This window comes from Homo sapiens, chromosome 9 (genome assembly GCF_000001405.40).
Source record: "Homo sapiens chromosome 9, GRCh38.p14 Primary Assembly".
Lineage (NCBI taxonomy): Eukaryota > Metazoa > Chordata > Mammalia > Primates > Hominidae > Homo > Homo sapiens.
The window spans coordinates 121,355,743-121,377,409 of NC_000009.12; the positions used below are offsets into that span (position 1 = coordinate 121,355,743).

The 21,667-nt window shown below is 39.8% G+C and overlaps 1 protein-coding gene and 1 long non-coding RNA gene across 16 annotated transcripts in view, besides 2 other annotated features; one reads left to right on the forward strand and one right to left on the reverse strand.

Moving 5' to 3' along the window:
* Nucleotides 1–14,508, reverse strand: part of STOM (stomatin) — a 31,264-nt gene extending 16,756 nt beyond the window's left edge. For 4 of the 5 annotated variants that reach the window (NM_198194.3, NM_001270527.2, NM_001270526.2 and 1 more), the window contains exons 1-2: nt 14,385–14,508; nt 311–414 (exon numbers count right to left, since the gene is read on the reverse strand). In NM_198194.3, the coding sequence (NP_937837.1) occupies nt 311–414; nt 14,385–14,445 (165 nt within the window). In that variant the 5' untranslated portion in view covers nt 14,446–14,508. Of the gene's footprint in view, nt 1–310; nt 415–10,373; nt 10,504–14,384 lie in introns of all 5 variants that reach the window. The other variant, NR_073037.2, reaches the window with a different exon arrangement.
* The window catches only part of LOC102723324 (uncharacterized), a 93,479-nt gene continuing 85,962 nt past the window's right edge, over nt 14,151–21,667 (forward strand). For 4 of the 11 annotated variants that reach the window (NR_187160.1, NR_187159.1, NR_187158.1 and 1 more), the window contains exons 1-2: nt 14,151–14,224; nt 19,489–19,583. This is a non-coding gene — a long non-coding RNA (uncharacterized LOC102723324). Of the gene's footprint in view, nt 14,225–14,772; nt 15,082–19,472; nt 19,584–21,667 lie in introns of those variants that run through there. The other 7 variants (NR_187153.1, NR_187152.1, NR_187150.1 and 4 more) reach the window with 4 other exon arrangements.
* Nucleotides 14,513–15,473: an enhancer, noted in NCBI's record as "H3K27ac-H3K4me1 hESC enhancer chr9:124132533-124133493 (GRCh37/hg19 assembly coordinates)". NCBI's record gives its function as "activates a minimal SCP1, AML or CMV promoter by ChIP-STARR-seq in primed H9 embryonic stem cells {active_cell/tissue: H9 hESC(primed)}" and the evidence as "EXISTENCE:reporter gene assay evidence [ECO:0000049][PMID:30033119]".
* Nucleotides 14,933–15,022: an enhancer, noted in NCBI's record as "active region_28923". NCBI's record gives its function as "activates an Ori minimal core promoter by ATAC-STARR-seq in GM12878 lymphoblastoid cells {active_cell/tissue: GM12878}" and the evidence as "EXISTENCE:reporter gene assay evidence [ECO:0000049][PMID:35858748]".

The following is a 21,667-nucleotide window of genomic DNA, read 5'->3' on the forward strand; positions in this document are numbered from 1 at the left end:
GTCAAACCCTATCATCCTAACTCTGAAGAACTTGTTCTCTCAGAACCATCTCACATCCCTGGCCCCAGGAAATTTTTGATGGTGAAACTTACTTTAGCCCACGGGGAAGGGCAATGGCTGAAAAGAAGTTTTAAGGTTCCATTTTAATAGGTGGGTAGAAGAATAAATTTTCCAAAGAAAGATGAAGAAATAAGAATTATAAGAGAGAGAGACAGTCTGTTTCTTTCTCACATACACACAGGCACACACGAAGTAGGTTTATGGAGGTAGGAGTTGACCCCTTCCCAGAAGTGAATGAAATGTTCTTTACCTTTATGCACATCCATATTGAGATTGGGAAAGTTATAACGGTGAATAAGAATGAGAACGCCACCAAAATCCATCCGCAAGGTCCAAGGCCCTTACTGGGGCTGTCTGTTGAAAACAAAAAATATACAACTCTCACAACTGTTACTAGCATAATCACCACCATCTTCATCCTTACCATTCGCTGAATACCTATGTGCTTGGCACTACACCAGCTGTTTTACATGAATTTCCCCATCTAATCCTCATACAGCCCTGAAGTGTAAGTACTACTTTCCCTTATCTATGTGATGTCATAACACAAGTATATTTCCACATTACTCATTACTTTATTCAGCAAACATTTATTAAGCATCTACTATTTATTAGGCCCTCTGCTTTGTACTGAAATGATAACAATGAGTAAGACCCAATCCCAGCTTTCAGGGTTAAAGTTTAGTGGGAAAGTCAGACAAACACATAATTATAATATTAGGTGGTAAGTACAGATATAGAGTATCTGTTCAGAATATTTTGAAGACACAGAATGAGTTAACTCACGCAGTTAGGATGGAGGTGAGAAAGGAATGGGGCGGGGAGGTGATTCAGGTGGCTGTCAGAGGGTTTCCTGAAGGATGTAATAGTAAGAAAATATCGACGAAAAGAAAGTGGAGGCTGGGCGTCGTGGCTCACGCCTGTAATCCCAGCACTTTGGGAGGCCGAGACAGGTGGATCACTTGAGGTCAAGAGTTCAAGACCAGCCTGATCAACATGATAAAACCCCGTCTCTACTAAAAATACAAAAATTAGCTAGGCGTTGTGGTGAGTGCCTGTAATCCCAGCTACTGGGAAGGCTGAGGCAGGAGAATTGCATGAACCCAGGAGGTGGAGGTTGCAGTGAGCCAAGATTGTACCACTGCACTCCAGCCTGGGCAACAGAGGAAGAATCTGTCAAAAGAAAAGAAAAGAAAAGAAAAAGGAAAGAGGGAAAAGGCATTAGAGCATTTTAGCTAGGAGTACAGTACGAATAAAGGTGAAAACCATATGATATGAGTATAAAGTTGTTTAGAGCCTCTTTTTAAAAATTACACCTGTAAAATATTTCACTAGGTTTATGCAGCATCATTTATTGCCCACTTCCTGATTACACAGGTTGTTTGATTTCTTAGTGCTATAAACAGTGTTGTAGTGAACATCTTTGTACACGGCTTTCCTCTCACATTTCTAATTGTTTCCTGTTCCTGTAATATGCAACAGCTTTTCCGTCTGATTACAAAGGTAATAATGCAAAAAATTCACAGAAGTATAACAAAGGAGGGAAAAATTACTTTAAATTCAGAGGTATTTTGGTATATTCTTTGAAAATTTTCCTAGTGTACACACCATATTTTTAAATGATATATATATATATATTTATTTATTTATTTTTTGAGACAGAGTCTTGCTCTGTTGCCCAGGCTGGAGTGCAGCAGCACAGTCTCACCTCACTGCAACCTCCACCTCCTGGGATCATGCGATTCTCCCGTCTCAATCTCCTGAGTAGCTGGGATTACAGCCACCTGCCACCACACCCGGCTACTTTTTGTATTTAGTACAGATGGGGTTTCACCATGTTGGCCAGGCTGGCCTCGAACTCCTGACGTCAAGTGATCTGCCCACCATGGCCTTCCAAAGTGCTGGGATTACAGGCATAAGCCACTGCGCCCGGCCTTAAATCATATTTTTAAAAATAAATAAATAAATAAAATGTGTAACCTATTTTTCTTCCCTGTAGCTATTCTCTTTCACCTTCTTTTTTGGCCTTCGTGGTTATGCATTTGTGTTTTTGAAGTTACACTTGCATAAAGTTTAAAAAGTCAAACCATTCTATATGATTAGTACAAAAAAAGGGCATTCCCATGCTCACCTCTTCCAATTTCCTCCTCCTCAAAAACATTTGCTATTTTGACCATTTTGATATCTACCTCCATATTTCTAAATAATACGCTTTGCAGCTGGGTGCAGGGGTCACACCTGTAATCCCAGCACTTTGGGAGGCTGAGGAGGGAGGATCCCTTGAGCCCAGGGGTTTGAGACTAGCTTGGGCAACATAGGGAGACTCTGTCTCTACTTTAAAAAAAAAAAAAATAATAATAATAATATGCTTCTGCCAGGCATGGTGGCTCACGCCTGTAATCCCAGCACTTTGGGAGGCCGAGATGGGAGGATTGCTTGAGCTCAGGAGTTTGAGACCAGCATGGGCAACCTAGTGAGACTCCCATCTCTACTTGAAACTTCTTAAAAAAAATTAGCTGTGTGTGGTGGCACACACCTGTAGTCCCAGCTACTGAGGAGACTGAAATAGGGGGATTGCTTGAGCCTGGGGGTTCGTGGCTGCAGTGAGCTGTGATGTACCCCAGCCTGGACAACAAAGTGAGGAAAGAAAGAAAGAAAGAAAAGGAAGGAAGGAAGGAAGGAAATGCTTGTTTTGTTACTTCTTGCTTTTTCAGTTTTGAGGACTATTAACTTTCTACTACAGAAAAAGATTTAGTTCTCTTTCCTCCCCGTTACCCCCACCACATACTTATACCCAGCTTTCCAATATAATTACATCATAACTTCATTTAGATCAATATGAGATTTTATATTATGAATTTGTAAGTGCAATTTAAAGCTAAGCCAAGTAGTGAGGTATCACTGGTTTTCTCTTCCTGTACTATTTTTGTTTTTTCTGGAATTACTGTCTTATTTTTTCCCTTTGTTCGGTTTTCAACGTACTTATTGATCCAACCTTAAATCAATTGCCTAAATTTCCTCTCAAAGAGGTCAGGTATACTATCAATTTTATCTTCTGGAAGAATTCTCTCTCAGAGCCTTGTGTGGACTTCCTTCATCTGGTGTGCACGGCTATCATTCTGCAATTGCTTTCACTATCATCCTGGGAACTCCCATCACCTCAGTGTTGTGTTCCTATTTTCTGTATCAAGTGTCATCCTCATTTTTAGTTTGCTTTTGCTTTCTGTAGAGGACATAGGGACTGAGAAGGCCAAGGGATATAGTAGGTTTTCTTATCAACCACTTGGAAGGCTTCTGCTGTATTTTCAGGAGCTATTTTAATGACAGAGGGGAGAAAAGGTATGCCAGGCACATGTTACTGCTCAGAAGAAAGGGCAAAATGGCAGTAAGATGGGGCTTGGAATAAATAGGAGGCCAAGAAATAAGCAGAGTGTTCAGGCTGGGAACATGGGAGAAGAGAGACACATGTTGGCACCCAGGTCAAGTGCTCTAAAACATAGGATGAAAAATCAGAAATATAGTGAGTACTTGGGTTGTATGTGACTTGGTAGTTTTCTGATCCTGTGTTATAGTGTGAGGTAAATGTCTTCATGTATACTTAAATAAAATGATCTAAAGTAATCCTGGAGGTTTCTAAGTTATAATTTAGGGGGTACAGACATATTCATTGAGAGAATATTCAAAGCAGGGCCATAGTACTGTTTGTGAAGAAAGCTTTATCTAGTATTACCATGACTGATCATAGCAACAGTGGCTGTTTTGAGGGGTTGTGTATACCCCAGGCATTTTTTAAAGTTACTTTAGACATGTATCTCATTTAACTCTTACAACAGCCCTGTGAGGGTATTTTTAAATCCCTTTTACAAATGAGTTACCTAAAGCAACATTTAACTTTCCCAAAGTCACACAATGGAAGACCTGGGACTCAAATATGGGTCATCTTACTCCAAAGCCCGTGTTCCAAATTCACCCCTCAATAAAAAAAATCCTCATTAAGAATGTTTTCGTGGTTGAGCACTTTCTCAAGACAGTATCCAAACTGAAAAGCATGGCTGGAGTTGTGAGAATGAAATCTGATATTTTTACAGAGGAAGTCCTCTTAATGCCAGCCATGCCTATTTATAGCAAAAGATAGTTTCAAGGCTCTGTGACAGACACAGGTCTAGGTTTCCAGGGTGAAATGAATTCCAAACAAGGACAGACTGACCACAAATACTTATTTATCTGACAGCATTTGGTGCCTTTTCAAATACTGTCCAAGTCTCCCATAACATACTAGAGTAAAAACTCCCTGAGGGCAGGGATGTTGCTTATTCACTTTTATATTCTCAATGTCTAGCACAGTATCCTGCATAGTAGAATAGATATAAAATAAAATACTTCTCAGCAAGTTTTCTAGCTAGATATGTCTTTTTCTTTCCTTTGAATCTCGATAGCATTTTTTGAAAATTATCTTATGGCACTTATATCTTGTCTAATCTTTTATTTTTTATTTATTTTTAATTGACCTTCCAATGTAGGATTTTAATCTTTTATTATTTTTTAATCTAATATTTTAATTTCTTGTGCATTTATATCCCTTATTACACTGAGATTCCCTGAGAACGAGGAGTAACTATGTTTGAATTTCACTTCTGATACTTCTTAGTTGCATGATCTTTACCTCTTTGAACCTTAGTTTCCTTACCGGTGGAAAGTAAAGATTATTAGGCTGGCCTTGTAGAATACAGATAAAATGATCAGTAAATGTAGATGATAGTTTTCTGTAATCCTTCTATTTTACTTAAGTGTTTGTATCTTCATGAAGAAAAATGGGAAAATAGCATTTACCCTTTTTGATCAAAAGCCTCTTAAACAATTTAATTTGCCATTTGCTTCATACCTGCCCCCAGTCTGGCTAGGCTGGGACATTCAAAGACTCTCAAAAAGTTCATTTATGATCTACATGAGGACAAGCCAAAAAGTTCAGCCCAGTTTTTTTTGTGTCAGTTCCCATGTCACATTGTGTTTTTGAGAACCCCAGATGTGTATATGGGATTGCAAATCACCAGGAACAAGGAATTAAGTACACATTTTGAAAACTGGATTTGGTCTTTCACATATCAAATGCTTGGCTAGAAATAATCAGTGTATACACTGGGAAAATGGCACTTTCATATTTTTCTAATGACTTTAAAATGAAAGTATCCTACCTTCACCTCTCAAAATTCTTCCCCACCTGGTTACCCCTCAAAAAGGTACACAGTATCTAAGTTGGGAATGCATCACTAGAGTTCTGAGACTGAAATCTGATGTTTTTACAGAGGAAGCCCTCTTAATTCCAGCTGTGTCTATTTATAGCATGTTGTGCTATAAATGCATAGCTCAGAGGTGAGGCTTAAACTCTAGCAGGCTTATAAATGAACCCTTAGTCATCTACCACTTCTGGGAATAAGAGAAAAGAAATTCTCACTCACTAAAATCTCAGGAAATTCATTTCCTTCAAGTTTCCCATGTATTACTTTAGGACTGAATCCTTCCTACCAGTTTTATGGGGAAAGGGACAAATAGTGATATTTTGGTTAATACACTTGTGGACTTTTTTTTTTTTTTTTTTTTTTTTTTTAGATGTAATCTCACTCTGTCGCCCAGGCTGGAGTGCAGTGGCGAGATCTCGGCTCACTGCAAGCTCTGCCCCCTGGGTTCACGCCATTCTCTTGCCTCAGCCTCCCCAGTAGCTGGGACTACAGGTGCCCACCACCATGCCTGGCTAATTTTTTGTATTTTTAGTAGAGACGGAGTTTCACCGTGTTAGCCAGGATGGTCTTGATCTCCTGACCTCGTGATCCTCCGGCCTCGGCCTCCCAAAGTGCTGGGATTACAGGCGTGAGCCAATGCACCCGGCCACTTGTGGGTATTTTGCTGGTTGAGAATGTTCCTAAAAATTAGGGATCCTATGATACTTGGTTGTAAATACTACTTTGCCATAGTTTAGAGCAATGGTCCCCAACCTTTTTGGCACCAGGGACCAGTTTCGTGGAAGACAATTTTTCCACAGGAAAGGGTTGGGGAACATGGTTTTGGGATGAAACTGTTCCACCACAGATCATCAGACATTAGGTTCTCATAAGGAATACACAACCTAGATCCCTCATATGTGCAGTTCACAATAGGGTTTGTGCTCTTATGAGAATCTAATGTTGCTGATCTGATCCGTCTGTGGCCTGGGAGTTGGGGACTCCTGGTTTAGAGTATTTTTTTTTCTTTTATTACCAAAATGGCAGTAGAATAAACTTTTAACTAATCAAAGAAGGGTCTGAATATGGACATAAGCCTGTACATTTGAATTTTTGTATTGAACATTCAAGTTGGGCTTACCTCCAGGAAACTCACATACATTTTCTAAAATTGCTTTTTTACTTTAAAAGCAAAAGTTACTATAAAAATTAGAAATGATAGCTCAACAAACAGAAACATTATCTATACTTTATCTCTGGATGTTTTTTGCCTTGATATACGTCTTTTAAACCTTTTCTAGCCTGTATTTTTTCAATAATGAAAGAATGGTATACACAGTGATTTAAAATCTTCTCCCTCCCATCCATGTTATGAACATTTTTTCATATCAGCACATATTCTTTATCATTATTAAAGATTAATTAATTAATTCCATTTTATATGATGAAATCTGTTGTGTCCAAATTTCTCACTTAGAAACTGCTGCATTGAATATATATTTAGCAGTGTTTCTGTACCTGCTTATTTCCTGTGTAAGTTAATTTTTCTGAAAAGATGAAATTATACAACTCTTAAAATTCTCTCATTCTGAAGGTATCTTTTGTTACTACTCCTAATAACTACCATTTATGAATTCCTATGACATGTTAGCCACATGTAGCTCCTCCTTACATACATGAGTATTTATAATGTTTACAAAAATCTGTGAAGTAGGTGTTAAAATATGCCTCCTGAAGTTCTAAAGTAATAAGGCTAAAGACCTTGTAGGAAGAAACAAAAGAAAACCAAGCAAACCATGAAACAAATGAAATTTGTTGTGTAGTAATTTTTGTTGGGTAAGTTTCTGGAAAGGCAGTTAAACATTCTTTCCAAGATGACAACACAGGCTGATTAGTCCAGAGGGCTGTAGTTGTCCCCGTTCCCCATCAGCTGATTTACTTTCAGATCTATTAACCTTAGCACTACTGGAAATCATGTGGAGTAATAAATCCACTCATCACTGAGATTTTATTATTGTAAAGTTCAACAGATAACTGGATTTCCTCTGCTGAGAATCTGACTGTGAGTCATAAGCATTATCCTACACAATAAGAAAGGATGGGCTAAGGAATTACTGAAATACCTAAACTGCCACTTTTTAACGGACACTTTTTTCCTTCTGCCTTCACAGAGTGCAAATAAAACACTTCATGTTGTAAATTGATGAGAGCAGTCCTGCCTGGATGGGGCAAGACAGAAAGGCTGGAAGTTTAGTCTCAAAAACACATGCTATTCAGTTGCAGCAGCACTTTTTAGGGGTAACAGTAGGCCAAATTGAAAAGTCTTGGCAATTTTTGAACTTTCTTCTTAAAAACATATGTATTCAGGATTAAGTGTTACTTTTGGCCACTATGATTCTTCATCAGTGATTCTTTGTCAGGATTGGCAAACTTTTCCTGTAAAGAACCAGGAACTAAATATTTTGGGCTTTGCAGTCTGTTGCAACTACTCAACTCTACTTTTGCAGTGCAAAAGAAGCCATAGATAGTACCTACATAAACAGCACAGCTGTTCCAATAAAACTTATGGACATAAATCTGAATTTCACATAATTTTCATGTGTAATGAAAAAGTATTCTTTTGCCTTTTTAAAATCATTTAAAAATATAAGAGCTATTTCATAACTTGTGGGACATACAGAAACAGAGTCAGCTAGATTTGGACAATGGGCTGTTACACGCTGTTCCTGTTTTATGTCAGCCAACTATTTATTTGAGGAGGAAGACTTGCATAAATTAAATAATGCATTTGATCTTTCTTCCAGCTATTCAAATAAGGGTACATTTCCCAGCTTCTCAGTTTCTCCCTTTTGCTTATTTTGAAGCAAGGCCTTTATAAGGCCTGATAAACAAAAACTCCTGGTGAAAATAAGCAAAAGGGCAGGTAGAGTAAGTGAATATAAATTCCTCTTCAATTAATCAAATTTTTACTATAACTAAGTTTTTCAAATGACTGGAATTTTAGGAGAAAAAGACAAAGAAGGGAAGGACATAGCAGAAGCGAAGGAAAATAAGAGAAATAGAAGGAGTAAAAATGGGAGAAACAAAAATGAAGACAGAATCCTACAAAGAGAGATAGATTAAAAAAGCTAGAAGTGAGAAAGAGGCAGAGTTTACCACATGGTAGCGTCTCGATAAACGTATGTTAAAAAATGATAGTGTTTCATTAGAGATCAAAACTTGCAATTCATTTAAGGCAGAAGATTTCAAAGCAAACAAGCACACACACATTATAGCCTGCCTTTCAAATTAGTATTTTAATTAGGCACGGCTTAGTTGTTCGAATGCCCTTATCCTTAAATCTCTAGAGAAGAAATTATTCTTGGGGCTAGAGTAGCTACAGGCCAGATGGTATCAAGTTAAAAACCATGAGTGAAGACTGTAACTTTTCCTCCCTATTAAAATCCATCTATAGTTATAAATGCTAGACCAAAAGAACTGATACTGATGAAGCACTATGTGGTTTGAATTACAAAGCTTAAAATGTGTTTACTGTGAAATACTAAGGAAAACAAATGGACTAATACTTCTAAGAAAGATTTGCAATAACAGTTATTCTTTGCTTAGCTCAAAAAGAATAAGGAAAGTAAATAAGCATAAATGTCTTATTTCCTAAATATTTTAAGGATTTTCTGTAGTTTTCCTGCATTCAAATGTTTCAGGCCATACAAGAGGAAAAAAATAGGTGAGAGCAACAGCAATAATTTTAAATTTGGACCTCTCAGTCTAAAATAATGCTGCAATAGCCCTTTACCCTTTTAAAACAACATTTATCACACTTGTAATTATTCTATTCAGTTGTGTGTCTTCATGAGATTTTGGTTTTATGAAAACAGTATAGCATAATAGGTTCACAGATGGCTCTGCCACTTACTAGCTGTGTGATCTTGAGAAAGTACCTTATTATTCAACTGTGCCTCAGTCTACCCATTGAAACATAGGGCTAATAAGAGTACCTCCTCAGGTTAGTGTGATGAGTAAATAAGCTAATATGGAAGACACTTAGTGTATATAACAGGTACTCAAAAAACATTTGTTAAATAGTTGCTGGATGAGTTGAGTGTGTTGTTTTTTTGGGGAAAAGAAAAAAAAAAGACTGCCTCTCACATAAGACAAACTGAAACAGCAGACAGGATCCTGGGATACAGTACAGAACCATCTCCTGCCCAAGCAGTTGTCAACTGCTTTCCTCAAGTATTTTCTTTTTAAAAAAAAAATCAGACCTTTTCCAACCATGACGTTAGAGAATTCAGGAAAGCAGAAGAATGGGCTGAACATGGCCCATGTCTGGAAGCACCAAAACATTTATGTTCAGGAAAATTGGAGAGAAAAACAATTTCATAATGGGTATTAAGTTAATTAAATTTCATCTAGGCCTGAAATACATGAAAACAGAACAAAAACCCTCCCACTTTTTAGGTTTTTTTTTTTTTTCCCAGCTCTTTTACTTGGACATCTTAAAATTATTCACAATTAAGTTTTTCTCATATAAGTCTTTGGAGGGTAACATCGTTTTCATTTAAAAATGGGAAATGGAAGCAGAAGAAAACTAGATGATAAAGTTCTCAGTTCTTCACTGTGATTAACAGCTAAGCAGTGGCTAAAAGCTTGCATTTTTGGTGTTAGATTCCAAATCTACCACTAAATTTTCTTATCAGTAAAATGGGGAAAAGAACAGTATTTATTTCACTCAGTTGTTGTGGAGATAAAACGAGAAAATATGTAAAGGGCTTGACACTTAGGAAGTATTCAACAAGCAGTAGCCATTATTATTACCACAACTTTAAGATCACTATTGATAAGTTTAGAGGAAGAAACTTTTTATGAAGTGAATTACCTTTTGGGATCTGGGCACTATGGAGAAAATATCAACTAACAATCTGCTTGGGGACTCTATCTCTGGAGGAGAAACAGACTACACTTGGGGCAGTAAGTCAGAGTTCTAAATGTTCTTGGACCATCCTTCATACAAATCTCTTAAGTGATGGTAGGGTGATCTCAACCTAAATCTTTTAATTATAAATTCCACTCTCATTTCACTATATTCTACTACCTTACCATAGTGCTCACTTTAACTGGACCACAAGTTCAGTATAGTTTTCATTGTCTGAGACTTTAGGACTTTATTGGTTGTATCTTCAAGGATAATCTTCTGAAATGTGAGGCCAAATGCTTGGAGTTCAAGTTTCTTTAGTAGTCCCAGCAGACAGAGAAAGATTAAAAAAGAATGTAGCAACAAGTGTGTGTCAATAGAAAATTATTTTAATTGAAATGATCTATTTTAATTATCAACAAGTGTGTGTCAATAGAAAATTATCTATTGACACACACTTCCTTCTTTCTACTAACCATGACCTCTAAACTTCTCTTTCCATGCTTTAATAAATAAAAGGAGATTTCTTATTAAGGACAATATATTATCTTGGCAATTATAATCCTTTTATTGATAATATAAACCCAGACAAATAGTCTATCTGTAATAATATATAATAAACATAATGGCCATGCCCTAAAATCAACAGCTTAAGTTATAACAAACTTAATAAAATAAATGGTAAACAGAAAAACTGCTCCACCAACATAAGGCTAAGGCAAACACTTAACAATGTTATTTACTCCAGGGGGATTTTTATCTCCCTGCCTGCTTCCTTTTTCTTTGAACAAATGTTTTTGTATACCTACTATGTACTTGATACTGGGCTACTACAGTGAAGAAGGACACAATCTCTATTTTCAAAAGTGTGGTCTAAAGGCCAGGCTTGGTAGCTCATGCCTGTTGTCCCAGCACTCTGGGAGGGTAAAGTGGGATCGCTTGAGTCCAGGAGTTCGAGACCAGCCTGGGCAACATAGTGAGACCCTGAGTTAAAAAAAAAAAAAAAATTAGCTGGGTGTGGTGGTGCATACCTGTAGTCCCAGCTACTCGAGGGGCTGAGGTGGGAGGATCACTTGAGGCTACAGTGAGCTATGACTGCACCATTGCACTCCAGCCTGGGCAACAGAGCAAGACCCGGTCTCAAAAAGAAAAAGTGTAGTTTAATTATGGGAGGGGAGGGGACAGATGAGTCAAACTGATAAATATGTTATGTAATAAACATTATGATAGAGATATGCACAGGATACCAGGCAGACGCAGGGAAAGGGTATTCACTTTTTTTGTAGTTACAATAGTTTTCAGGAAATTGCTTTTCCATGCCTTCTTAAAAAAACTGATTTTGAATTCCATCTGTATCACTTTATCAACATCTTTTTTTTCCCTCAAAGATGACTAGGAATCAGTGACTGTCTTTTACTAGGTAAAATTTATACCATCAAATGGCACCAAAAATCTATTTAATCATGAATAAATATGCCAGTTTTGTAGACTTGGTCTTCCATAAGTTAATTTATGACCACTGATGGAATAACTCAGATTAATTATTGAAGAAGTTACAAAGTTCTCTCCAATCTGATTGGCTATAACAACTGAAATAAACAATCAGTCTCCCAAAGGGTTTTATTTGTTGACATGGCTCTTAATTACAGTGATACATTCTTTGCAATTACTTGCATTATTTCATTACAAAGTGAATGCATCGCCTTTAAGAAAAACTAGTCTTGCCCTAGGCCTGGTGCTATTTACCTACCTAGGACTAATTCTCAGTAAAGACAAAGAGGCAGAGTTTAGGCTTTTAAAATTCCACTGCTTCTTTCACAAGCAGCCTTCTGGAAGTCATCACTGAAGCTGTGTTCCTCCAGGCTTTTTTTGTTTATTGTCTCTCAACTTAAGTAAAGTACTGAAGTTAGACAAGGTTCTACATTTTGGTATCCATCTCTGGGATAGGGAAAATGATTCAGAAAATCAGATAGCCGGGGTTTGAAACAGGGCTGAAAATTTTAGAAACTGTGATTTTGCCATGTGAGCCGCAGTATCCTTATTGTGAAATGGTGAATAATGACTTTTTCCTTGTAGAGCTGTTACAGAATGCAATTAGATAATGTTTGTAAAGCACTTAAACTGTCTTTTGGCACAGGGAAAGCATTCAATAACCTCTATTTAATAAATTCCAGCAATACCTTTCCTAGTAGCGTCAAATTTGTTAGGTTTACATTAAAAAAACACAGACTATGCAAAATTTTATTTGTATGTCTAATTTTTGAGAGGAAGTGGTGGTTTTCATTAGATCTTGAAAGATTTCTGTCTAAACAGTAGTTAAGTGTAGAACCAAGGAAAAAAACTGGAAGTTAAAAACTCATCTATGACCACTTGTCTGTAAATAAACATTAAGTACAAAGATCATGTTGATTCTCAAAGAACTCCAAGCAGATTTGCCACTGCAGTTTCCCACCAGGAGGTCAGGGTATTGAGGAATGCATGCTAATACCCACCTTTTTATCTAGGAAAAGACAACTAACTATCGAAGAGGCAGTTACCACCCATTTTTTCCCTATTCAAGTTTTAGAATCAGTCAAATCTAGATTTAAATACAAACTAAGTGACTTTAAGTAATTTAACTTCTTTGACTATCAGTTTCATCAAGTATAATATGGGGATAAGAATACCTACCACATCATCTGTTGTGAAGATTCAATAAAATAATATATACATAAAATACGTGGCACTGGGGGGGTCGCGGTGGCTCATGCCTGTAATCCCAGCACTTTGGGAGGCCGAGGCGTGTGGATCACTTGAGGTCAGGAGTTTGAGACCAGCCTGACCAACATGGTGAAACCCTGTATCTACAAAAAATACAAAATCAGCTGGGCATGGTGGTGCACGCCTGTAATCCCAGCTACTTGGGAGGATGAGGCAGGAGAATCACTTGAACTCGGGAGGCGGAGGTTGCAGTGAGCGGAGATCACACTCCAGCCTGGGCAAGAAAAGCGAAACTCCGTCTCAAAAAAAAAAAAAAAAGTGATACGGAGCCTGACCTATTTAGTTTCAATTTTTGTTGTTGTGGTTGCCATTATTCTCATCAACTCCTCCCTGTTACACTCTCCATTTGGGAAGATAACCTGCAACGTTATTAGTAGACAAAAAGTGAGGAATAAAGATTTCTGTAATTCCTTTGATGCTCCTGGGAAGGAACTGAACACAGGGATCCCTGGACAAGGGAAATGGAACTTATAGCTAAGATGCTGTGGATAAAGCTGGCTTTACAAATAATCAGAATAGATGACTCCAATGTCATGTTCTTTGAGGGGTCCTGGAAAGGACCACCCAGCCCTCTAAATTGCTTTCACTGCCATCCTGCCTGAAATTCCATCTTTAGAAACACTGTAATTCCTCTGGATCACTAAGAGCTCCTGAGTGGGTACCAGGACTCCTGAGAGGTCCACCATCTCTCTTTATTGGAACCCCCTCCCCAGAGTACCAGTTCCTCCACAGGGGAACGAGACTGAGCCACTTACAGCTCCTGCCTTGAAGACTGGGAAGGGAGGGTGGGGGTGAGGGTGGGAGAACTCAGGGTTCCTGGCGAGGAACAAAAGCCGGGAAGGAGAGTTCTCCAAAACGCAGAGGAAAGCGGAGGGGGAAAAATGGGGCAGAAAGTGGAGCTAGAAAGAGAGGTAAGAAGAAAGCCAGAGAGACTTCTTCCTTCTGCAAATCGGTCTAAGTTTCGGGAGGTGGGATTGGGGGAGGAGGGGGTTCACCCTGGGGCCAGGCCAGGGCTGGGTGGAGGAGGCGGCCTTCGAGAGAGTGAGTCGGGAAAGAAGGGGAGTGGGCAAAGGGTGAGATGTGGGGTCCCGGTCCCCGCCTCGCTGGCTGCCAGTTCCCTCTGCGTTTCCTAGTCCGCGTGCGTGACACGAGATAGTGCAGCCCTGGCATGGGGCTTGGCATCTGGCGGCCGCGAGATAACCAGGGCCCGTGCGATGGGAAACGTGCCGTTGGCAGCCCGCCACCCCTCCATCGTGACCTCAGTCTGCCAAACAGGGTTCGTGATGCTCAGTTTACTAGGGAGGAGCCGCGGCTTTGAGATCTCGCCCAGCCCGAAGCAGCGGAGACTGGCCAGGAGCCCGGCTGTCAGACCTCGGAGCGCACGCTGCGGGCGGGGGCTCGGTCCACGGGGGAGGGTCAGGGGACGCGGGACTCACCCTTGAAGGAGTCGGGGAGCCGCTGGGCTTCGGAGTCCCGTGTGTGCCGCTTCTCGGCCATGCTGCCCGAGACGCAGTCGCACTCCCCCGTCCTCGTTGCCAAACCCGGAGCCGCCGGGAATGCCCTGAGGAGCCAGAGGCACAAGACCCAGATTGCCGCCCCGCCCCCAATCGAGGTCCCGCCCTCGTGAGAGTTGGCCAATCAACGCCCAGGATCGAGGAGGACCCACCTCCCAATCCCCGCCCTCCTGTCCCTCCACGGCGCGACTGCTTCGCAGTCACTTCCCGCTAGTTCTGTGGGCTGAGGGGCGTGGCCTGAGGGGCGTGGCCTGAGGGGCGAGAGCCCCCAAGGCTGTGGGTATGAGGCCGGGGCCCTGCACCGGAAGGGAGGGCGGAAGCCACGGGACGTGGAGCAGATGGTGAGGATAGTGGGGAGGTAGCAGCAGAGGATGACCCGAGGCAAAAGTGCAAGTGAAGAAAAGTCGCCTTGCCGGGCAGAGGTACGGGACCAAGGCGCCTCCTCTGGGCTGAGGAGTTAGAGGGAAGAAAATGGCGCCCTGTCATGAGGGCGCGAGGTCCGAGTTGAGGGGAGAAGACTGAGGGACACAGAAGTGGCCGAAGTGAGGGCGCTGAGGTCAGCCTGAGCTGAGAGGGCCGGCAGATCACGCCGCAGCCGAAGTGAACGAACTCGAGTGAGGTGTGTTAAGAAAATCAAAATGTATAAATTTGGAAAAGGAGAGGAGGCCGGGCGCGGTGGCTCACGCCTGTAATCCCAGCACGTTGGAAGGCCGAGGCGGGTAGATCATCTGAGGTTAGAAGTTCGAGACCAGCTTGGCCAACATGGTGAAACCCCGTCTCTGCTAAAAATACAAAAATTAGCCGGGCGTGTGGCGCGCGCCTGTAATCCCAGCTACTTGGGAGGCTGAGGCAGGAGAATCGCTTGAACTTGGGAGGCAGAGGTTGCAGTGAGCCGAGATGGCCTGGGTGACAGAGCGAGACTCCGTCTCAAAAAAACAAAACAAAAAACAAAAAAACAGGAGAGGAGACTTTATTTCTTGTAAGGGGTTACAGCCTGCAAGGTGGCCATTCCGCAGGCTGGAGAATGGCCAGGACCAGAGACAGGCATTTCGTTGGAGGAGGGGTTGGAGTAGCGGCTTTATGCTGAACAGCTTGGGTAGACATGCATATTCAGCAGGTGACAGGAGGAGCTATGAATATTCATGAGGGTGGTCCTGACGCATGCCCATTGAGCAAACATGCATGTAACATACAACCCATGTTCATTTTGGAGTGAAGAGTTACCAATTAAATGTTAAATGCCTGGCCTGCATGGTGACGTCCCCATCTCTACAAAAAGTAAAAAAAAAATAGCCAGGTGGGGTGGTGTGTGCTTGCGGTCCCAACTAGTCAGGAGGCTGGGGCAGGAGGATCACTTGAGCCCAAGAGTTGGAGGCTGCAGTGATGTATGATCAGATCACTGCACTCCAGCCTGATGGACTCTAAAAAATAATAACAATACATGTATTACAGTTAGACCCCATGCGTCAAAAGGTCTTTTCAGGACAGGAAGGTGTGCAAGTATGCAGTCTGTGTAAACTAGCCAGAGCCAGTCCATGGTCGGTAGTTTTCCTATGAGGAGAAAGTTACTGAAATCAGCCTCTTGTCCAATTAAAGCTGTAATGATGGCTGGTGGAATAGGGGTTCCATTAGGCCACATCTGGTGGAGCTGCAAATTGTTTTAATATTGCTTATCTCGAGGCCAGTGCTTGTTAAGCTGCTAGAGAAAGAGAACAACCTTGTGGCAGTTAGAACACAGTTTATTCTCTAAGTGAAGGGATGTGTGCCTTAACCTTTGCCTGGCATGACCTTAGGTATAATTTGTTTATAATTTGGTATCTTATTGTCACAAACAGTCTGTTCTGTCAGTCTTATGATCTGTGTTTTAACGTTAATGCTGGTCAGCTGTTGTGTCTAAACTCCAATACGATGAAGTTATAATGAGGCGAGTCTGACCTTCTGTCCTGTCATTGGCTGGGAACTCAGTTTTAAAGTTTTCTGGAGTCCCCTTGGCCACAAGGGAGTCCATTCAGTCGGTGGGGTCATTTATTCAAACAAAATCTTCTTGGAGCATCTTCCATGTGGCAGGGAGTGTGCTAAGGGCCTCGTGGAGTTTACCTTATACTCTAGTTGGGAGATGGGCCACAAACAAGTAATTGAATCATTACACATGGTGAAGGAAGCTGTGAAAGGAGTGGAATATTCGGAGAACAGCAAAGGTTAGGACAGGGGAACACCTCTGTAAGGAAGGGGCTTTGAGATGTCGCCTGAGAAATGAGAAGGAGCCAGCCTGGGGAAGGGGAATAAGCGGTGCAGGAGGTGGGAAAGGGTATCCCAGGTAGAGGGAAAAGCATGTGCAAGGGCATTCCCAACCTCAGGCCTTCTCTTGGGGTGTGGCTGAAGACCTCATATTTGGAAAGTAGGCTGTGTTTGCATTAGACTTGTTCTATTGCACAATGTTCAAAGTATGTTAATGTACACAAGGTGCACTTATAAAAACATTCGATTTTGAAATAAGTACAGATTCACAGGAATTTGCAACAACAGTACAGAGAGGTCACATGTCCCCTTTACCCAGTTTCCCCCAATAGTTACGTCTTACTTAACTAGAGTATCAAAACCAGGAAATTGACAGTGGCACAAAATGTATTTATAGTTCTGTGCCATTTTAACATGTGTAGATTGATATAACCACAGTAATTGATACAGAACTATTCCATTACCACAAAGATCTCCCTCAGGAGGAGCACTTCTTTCTTAATGTGCTCAATATTTGGCTGTGTACTACCCAACACCTTGTGGTGCTTAGGTCATATGAAATGGTAGACTTTCTCTCTGATTTTACAGCTCTGGAGCTTTGTGACTATCAGGACGGAAACGGGAGCAGACACAACAGGTGTTAAGAGAGGCATTAAGATGATCTTTGCTTGCAGGAACAGGCTCCAGTGTGTGATCAAAACCTGACTCAGAGCTTGCAGTTGACTTTTAGTCAAATACTGGCCAAGAACTGTTTGTATTCCTGGGATGGAGTGCAGCTTGTGCAGTCACTTTGTTAGCCTTCTGGAGAAGATAAGGAGGGGAGTACAGTAATTTAATGATCCCTTCTCTCTAAATCATCCTTGAGAAAGTCCATAGCTTCATTTTTCCATTCTGTAACGAATAAGCCCTGGAGACATAAACTTCCCGTTTATCCTGTCATTCCCAGGAAAGAGGAGCAAATACACAAGAAACTAATTAAACCCTTCGGTAGAGGAGGCCTTGATTACAAATTGCATATTGTGAAAAAGGATTTAGGTTTCATTTTTGTTGGAAAGGAAAATGGTATTTCAAAATGAATTTAATATGTGTACCCCTATCAGTTACCTAAGCCCAAGTCTCAAGACAATCTTAACAGTGTAGTGTCCCTTCTGGAGAATTAGAAGTGTCTCCCTTTGGGGTAAAGACTTTGGTAAACACTTCTTGGCTCTGGTTTCAGATTGCATCAGTTCTAAAACTAATTCCTGGCCCTAAACTAAGAACAAGCTTTGACTTGATTTTTAAACTGCTTTTAGAATAGAGTTTCCAATTTTTTATTTAAATATGCTTACTCTCACTTGCCCATGAAATTGGTGTATTCTGGCTTTCTCGTGCATATTCTGTTATAAATGTATTGATTAAATGTACTTTAAAAATCAATTTCTCACTCTTAAGATTAGAAAAAAACAAATATTAGTACATCCCTTTCTCCTTTTGGAGGATTTTTAATCTTAAATTTTCTCCCAGTAATGATTAGAAGTTAGAATGATTTTTTTTAAAGAACCTTATGGCCAGGCGCAGTGGCTCATGCCTGTATCCCAGAACTTTGGGAGGCTGAGGTAGGCAGATCACTTGAGGTCAGGAGTTTGAGACCAGCCTGGGCAACATGGTAAAACCCCGCCTCTACTGAAAATACAAAAAATTAGCCGGGCATGGTGGCGCATGCTTGTAATCCCAGCTACTTGGGAGGCTGAGGCAGGAGAATTGCTTGAACCCGGGAGGCGGAGGTTGCAGTGAGCGGAGATCATGCCACTGCACTCCAGCTTAGGCAACAGAGTGAGATTCCATCTCAAAAAATAAAATAAAATAAATAAATAAATAACATTATGCTTTTTAAATGGAGACATATAAAATTGTGAGTACTTTGAAGAGAGAATTTCTTATCACCTCTAACAAAACTGCTATTACAATTTTGGTGAATTTTTCCTCTAGTTGTTATTTGAAGGATACTTATATATAGTTTGAAAATCAGAGTAGATGTTCCATATTTCCTTTATTTTTTATTTTTATTTTTTATTTTTTAGATGGAATGTTGCTCTGTCACCCAGGCTGGAGTGCAATGGCATGATCTCGACTCACTGCAACCTCTGCCTCCTGGGTTCAAGCAATTCTTCGGCCTCAGCCTCCCGAGTAGCTGGGACTACAGGCACCTGCCACCACGCCTGGCTAATTTTTTGTATTTTTAGTAGAGACGGGGTTTCACTGTGTTAGCCAGGATGGTCTCGATCTCCTAACCTCGTGATCCACCTGCCTTGGCCTCCCAAAGTGCTGGGATTACTGGCGTGAGCCACCACGCCTGGCCGTTCCGTATTTCCTTTATGTTTTATTTTGCTGTTATTTGCCTAGCATATTCAAGGTACCAAATTAAGTATTGATTGATGGTAATAGTGATAACATTAAGACTTGGAGATCAGGTTAAAGACAGATATGCACCATGAATCCGTAATTGAATAAGACAGAAGGAAATTTAATTAGCCTTTTTCCTGTGTCCATAGCAGTGCTTTAATAAGAACAATAGAAAAGTCTTTTTTTTTTCCTTTAAATTGCTAATCCAGGATGTTTTCGATGCTTTTATGGAAGTCAGCTAACTAAATACCTTGAGAGAACAGCAATACCATCAAATTACATCTGTCTGTGACATTTTCTCTAGGATGGGACTAACAAATTTGATCTGTTTTTTTTTAATATGTATTAATTCACACTTATTGCATTACAACAAGGTTTTTGTCTTCTTAGCTCTTCTCTTTTTCAGGAAATTACTCCAGGATTTGAATCATCACAAGAGATTCACCAGAGGATTTTATACACTTGGGCTGTGGCAGCAGACTAATTACATCACAGCACTAGGTAAGATACCGGGAGTCCGGATCCTCAGGACTTATGAAAATAAAAAGCATTACTGTAATATTAGTGCTATTTATTGGAGTTATCTATGAAAAGAATCTTATTAATCTGCTTTTTTATTAGCTCACTTAGCAAATATTTATTGCATACCAACTATGTGCCAGGCATTGTTCCAGGTGTTTGGGCCACATCAGGGACCAAAAAAGACCAAAATTCCTGTCCTCGTGGATCTCACATTCTAGTATTCCTTTCCATATGCATTAGCTTGCTAGGGTTTCCATAACAAAATATGACAGACTGGGTAGCTTAAACAACAGGAATTAAATTTTTTTTTTTTTTTTTTTTACACTTCTAGAGGCTAGAAGTGCAAGAACAAGATGTTAGCAGGGTTGGTTTCTCCTAAGGACCATGAAGGAAGGATCTGTTCCAGGCCTCTGTCTTTGACTTGTAGATAAATGTCTTCTTCCTGTGTCTTCACATTGTTTTTTGTTTGTGTGTCCGTGTCCAAATTTCTTCTTCTTAGAAGGATACCAGTCATATTCAATTAGAGTCCATCCTAATGACTTCATTTTAACTTAATTACCTCTTTAAAGATCCTTTATCCCAAGATAGTCACATGCTGAGATATATGGTGTTAGGACTTCAACATGTGAATTTTGGGGGAACACAGCCCATAATATCACATATGATTACTGTGTATCCACATCTTTGTGTTGTCTGTGTTCTCCTATCCACATCCCTGAGATATCCAAAGCCATTTATGTTTACTTGCAAAATGTGTCCAGTGACCTGTAATTATGAGTGATTACTTTTCTAGGTATGACTTATTATTTTGAAAGTTTTACTTTTTAATTGACATATAATAGAGGTATAAATTTTCAGGGCACATGTGATTATTAAATACATTTGTATAATTTGTAAAGGTCAAATCAGTGTAATTGGGATATCTATCACCTTGTTTGTTTTTTATTTATGTTAGAAACATTTGAATTATTCTCTTTTCGCTATTTTGAAATATACAAGACATAATTTAATTTTAAGCTATACTAAAAAGTTCTTGGTTAGGAAGGATTATTCTACTTGGAATGATGCTCCATCTAGTGTTCACCATATTCTACTACTTTTGTTAAAGTTTTAAAAATGAATAAAGGGGAAACTGTGTTGAAGAAGGGGTCCTCTATTTAACAGTTAGGTTCTTACTCACAGAGCACTATGGATTCATAGTAAAAAAAAAAATATTGTTTCAAATACCATATGTGGGAGGAAAGAGCGGTCTATATAAGACATTACTTTTAATAATTCAAGAAATATCGTTACCATCATTTACTGTCACCACCAGTTACGATGTACTTTTATCCCATGAGGAGACTGAGACTGAGTTTAGTCATTTACCCAAAATTTCACAGATCTTGGTCAGGTACAAGTCAGTGATGGAGATATTGTTTGCCCTACATACACTGTGTAATTCCTGAATTTGAACTCCTAATTATTCAGAATAAATAAAAAGAGACAAAAAGACACAAACTTGTCCTGATGCACTTTTTAGATATGAACACATGTAAGCATATACCTAATTGGGTACTGAAGTTTCCCTTCAATTTTAGTACATTTTAATCCTTGTCTTATATTGAAATGTTATCTTTTTGTTCAGTATTTTATCATTGTTGATGTGCTGTGTCAGAATGTGTCTGTCCATCTTAGATAGTAAATTTATAAATGACAGGACTTAATCCACAACCAAATCAGCATATTATAGTTTATTTCATTGTATATCTTGAATGAAATTGAAAAATTTAAATAACTATTTAAAAGTTTGGACTTTCCTCTTTGTAGTTTTAAAACATAATTTTTGTTTTTCTCTTGTACAAGTTGAATGGGGCAGCTTGACTGCTTGGAGACATCAGGAAAGACTTCCAGGGAAACAGGAGTTTAGTAGGATAAACATGGCTTACAATAGGATGCTTCAGGAATACAGAAAGGTCCTTGTAAATTCATAGGCGTGTGTCAGAGCTTGACACTTTTGGGTAAATGTAAGTAGTAACAGTGCAGGCAGTGGTGTTGAAAAATGACAGTGGATTAAAAGGCAT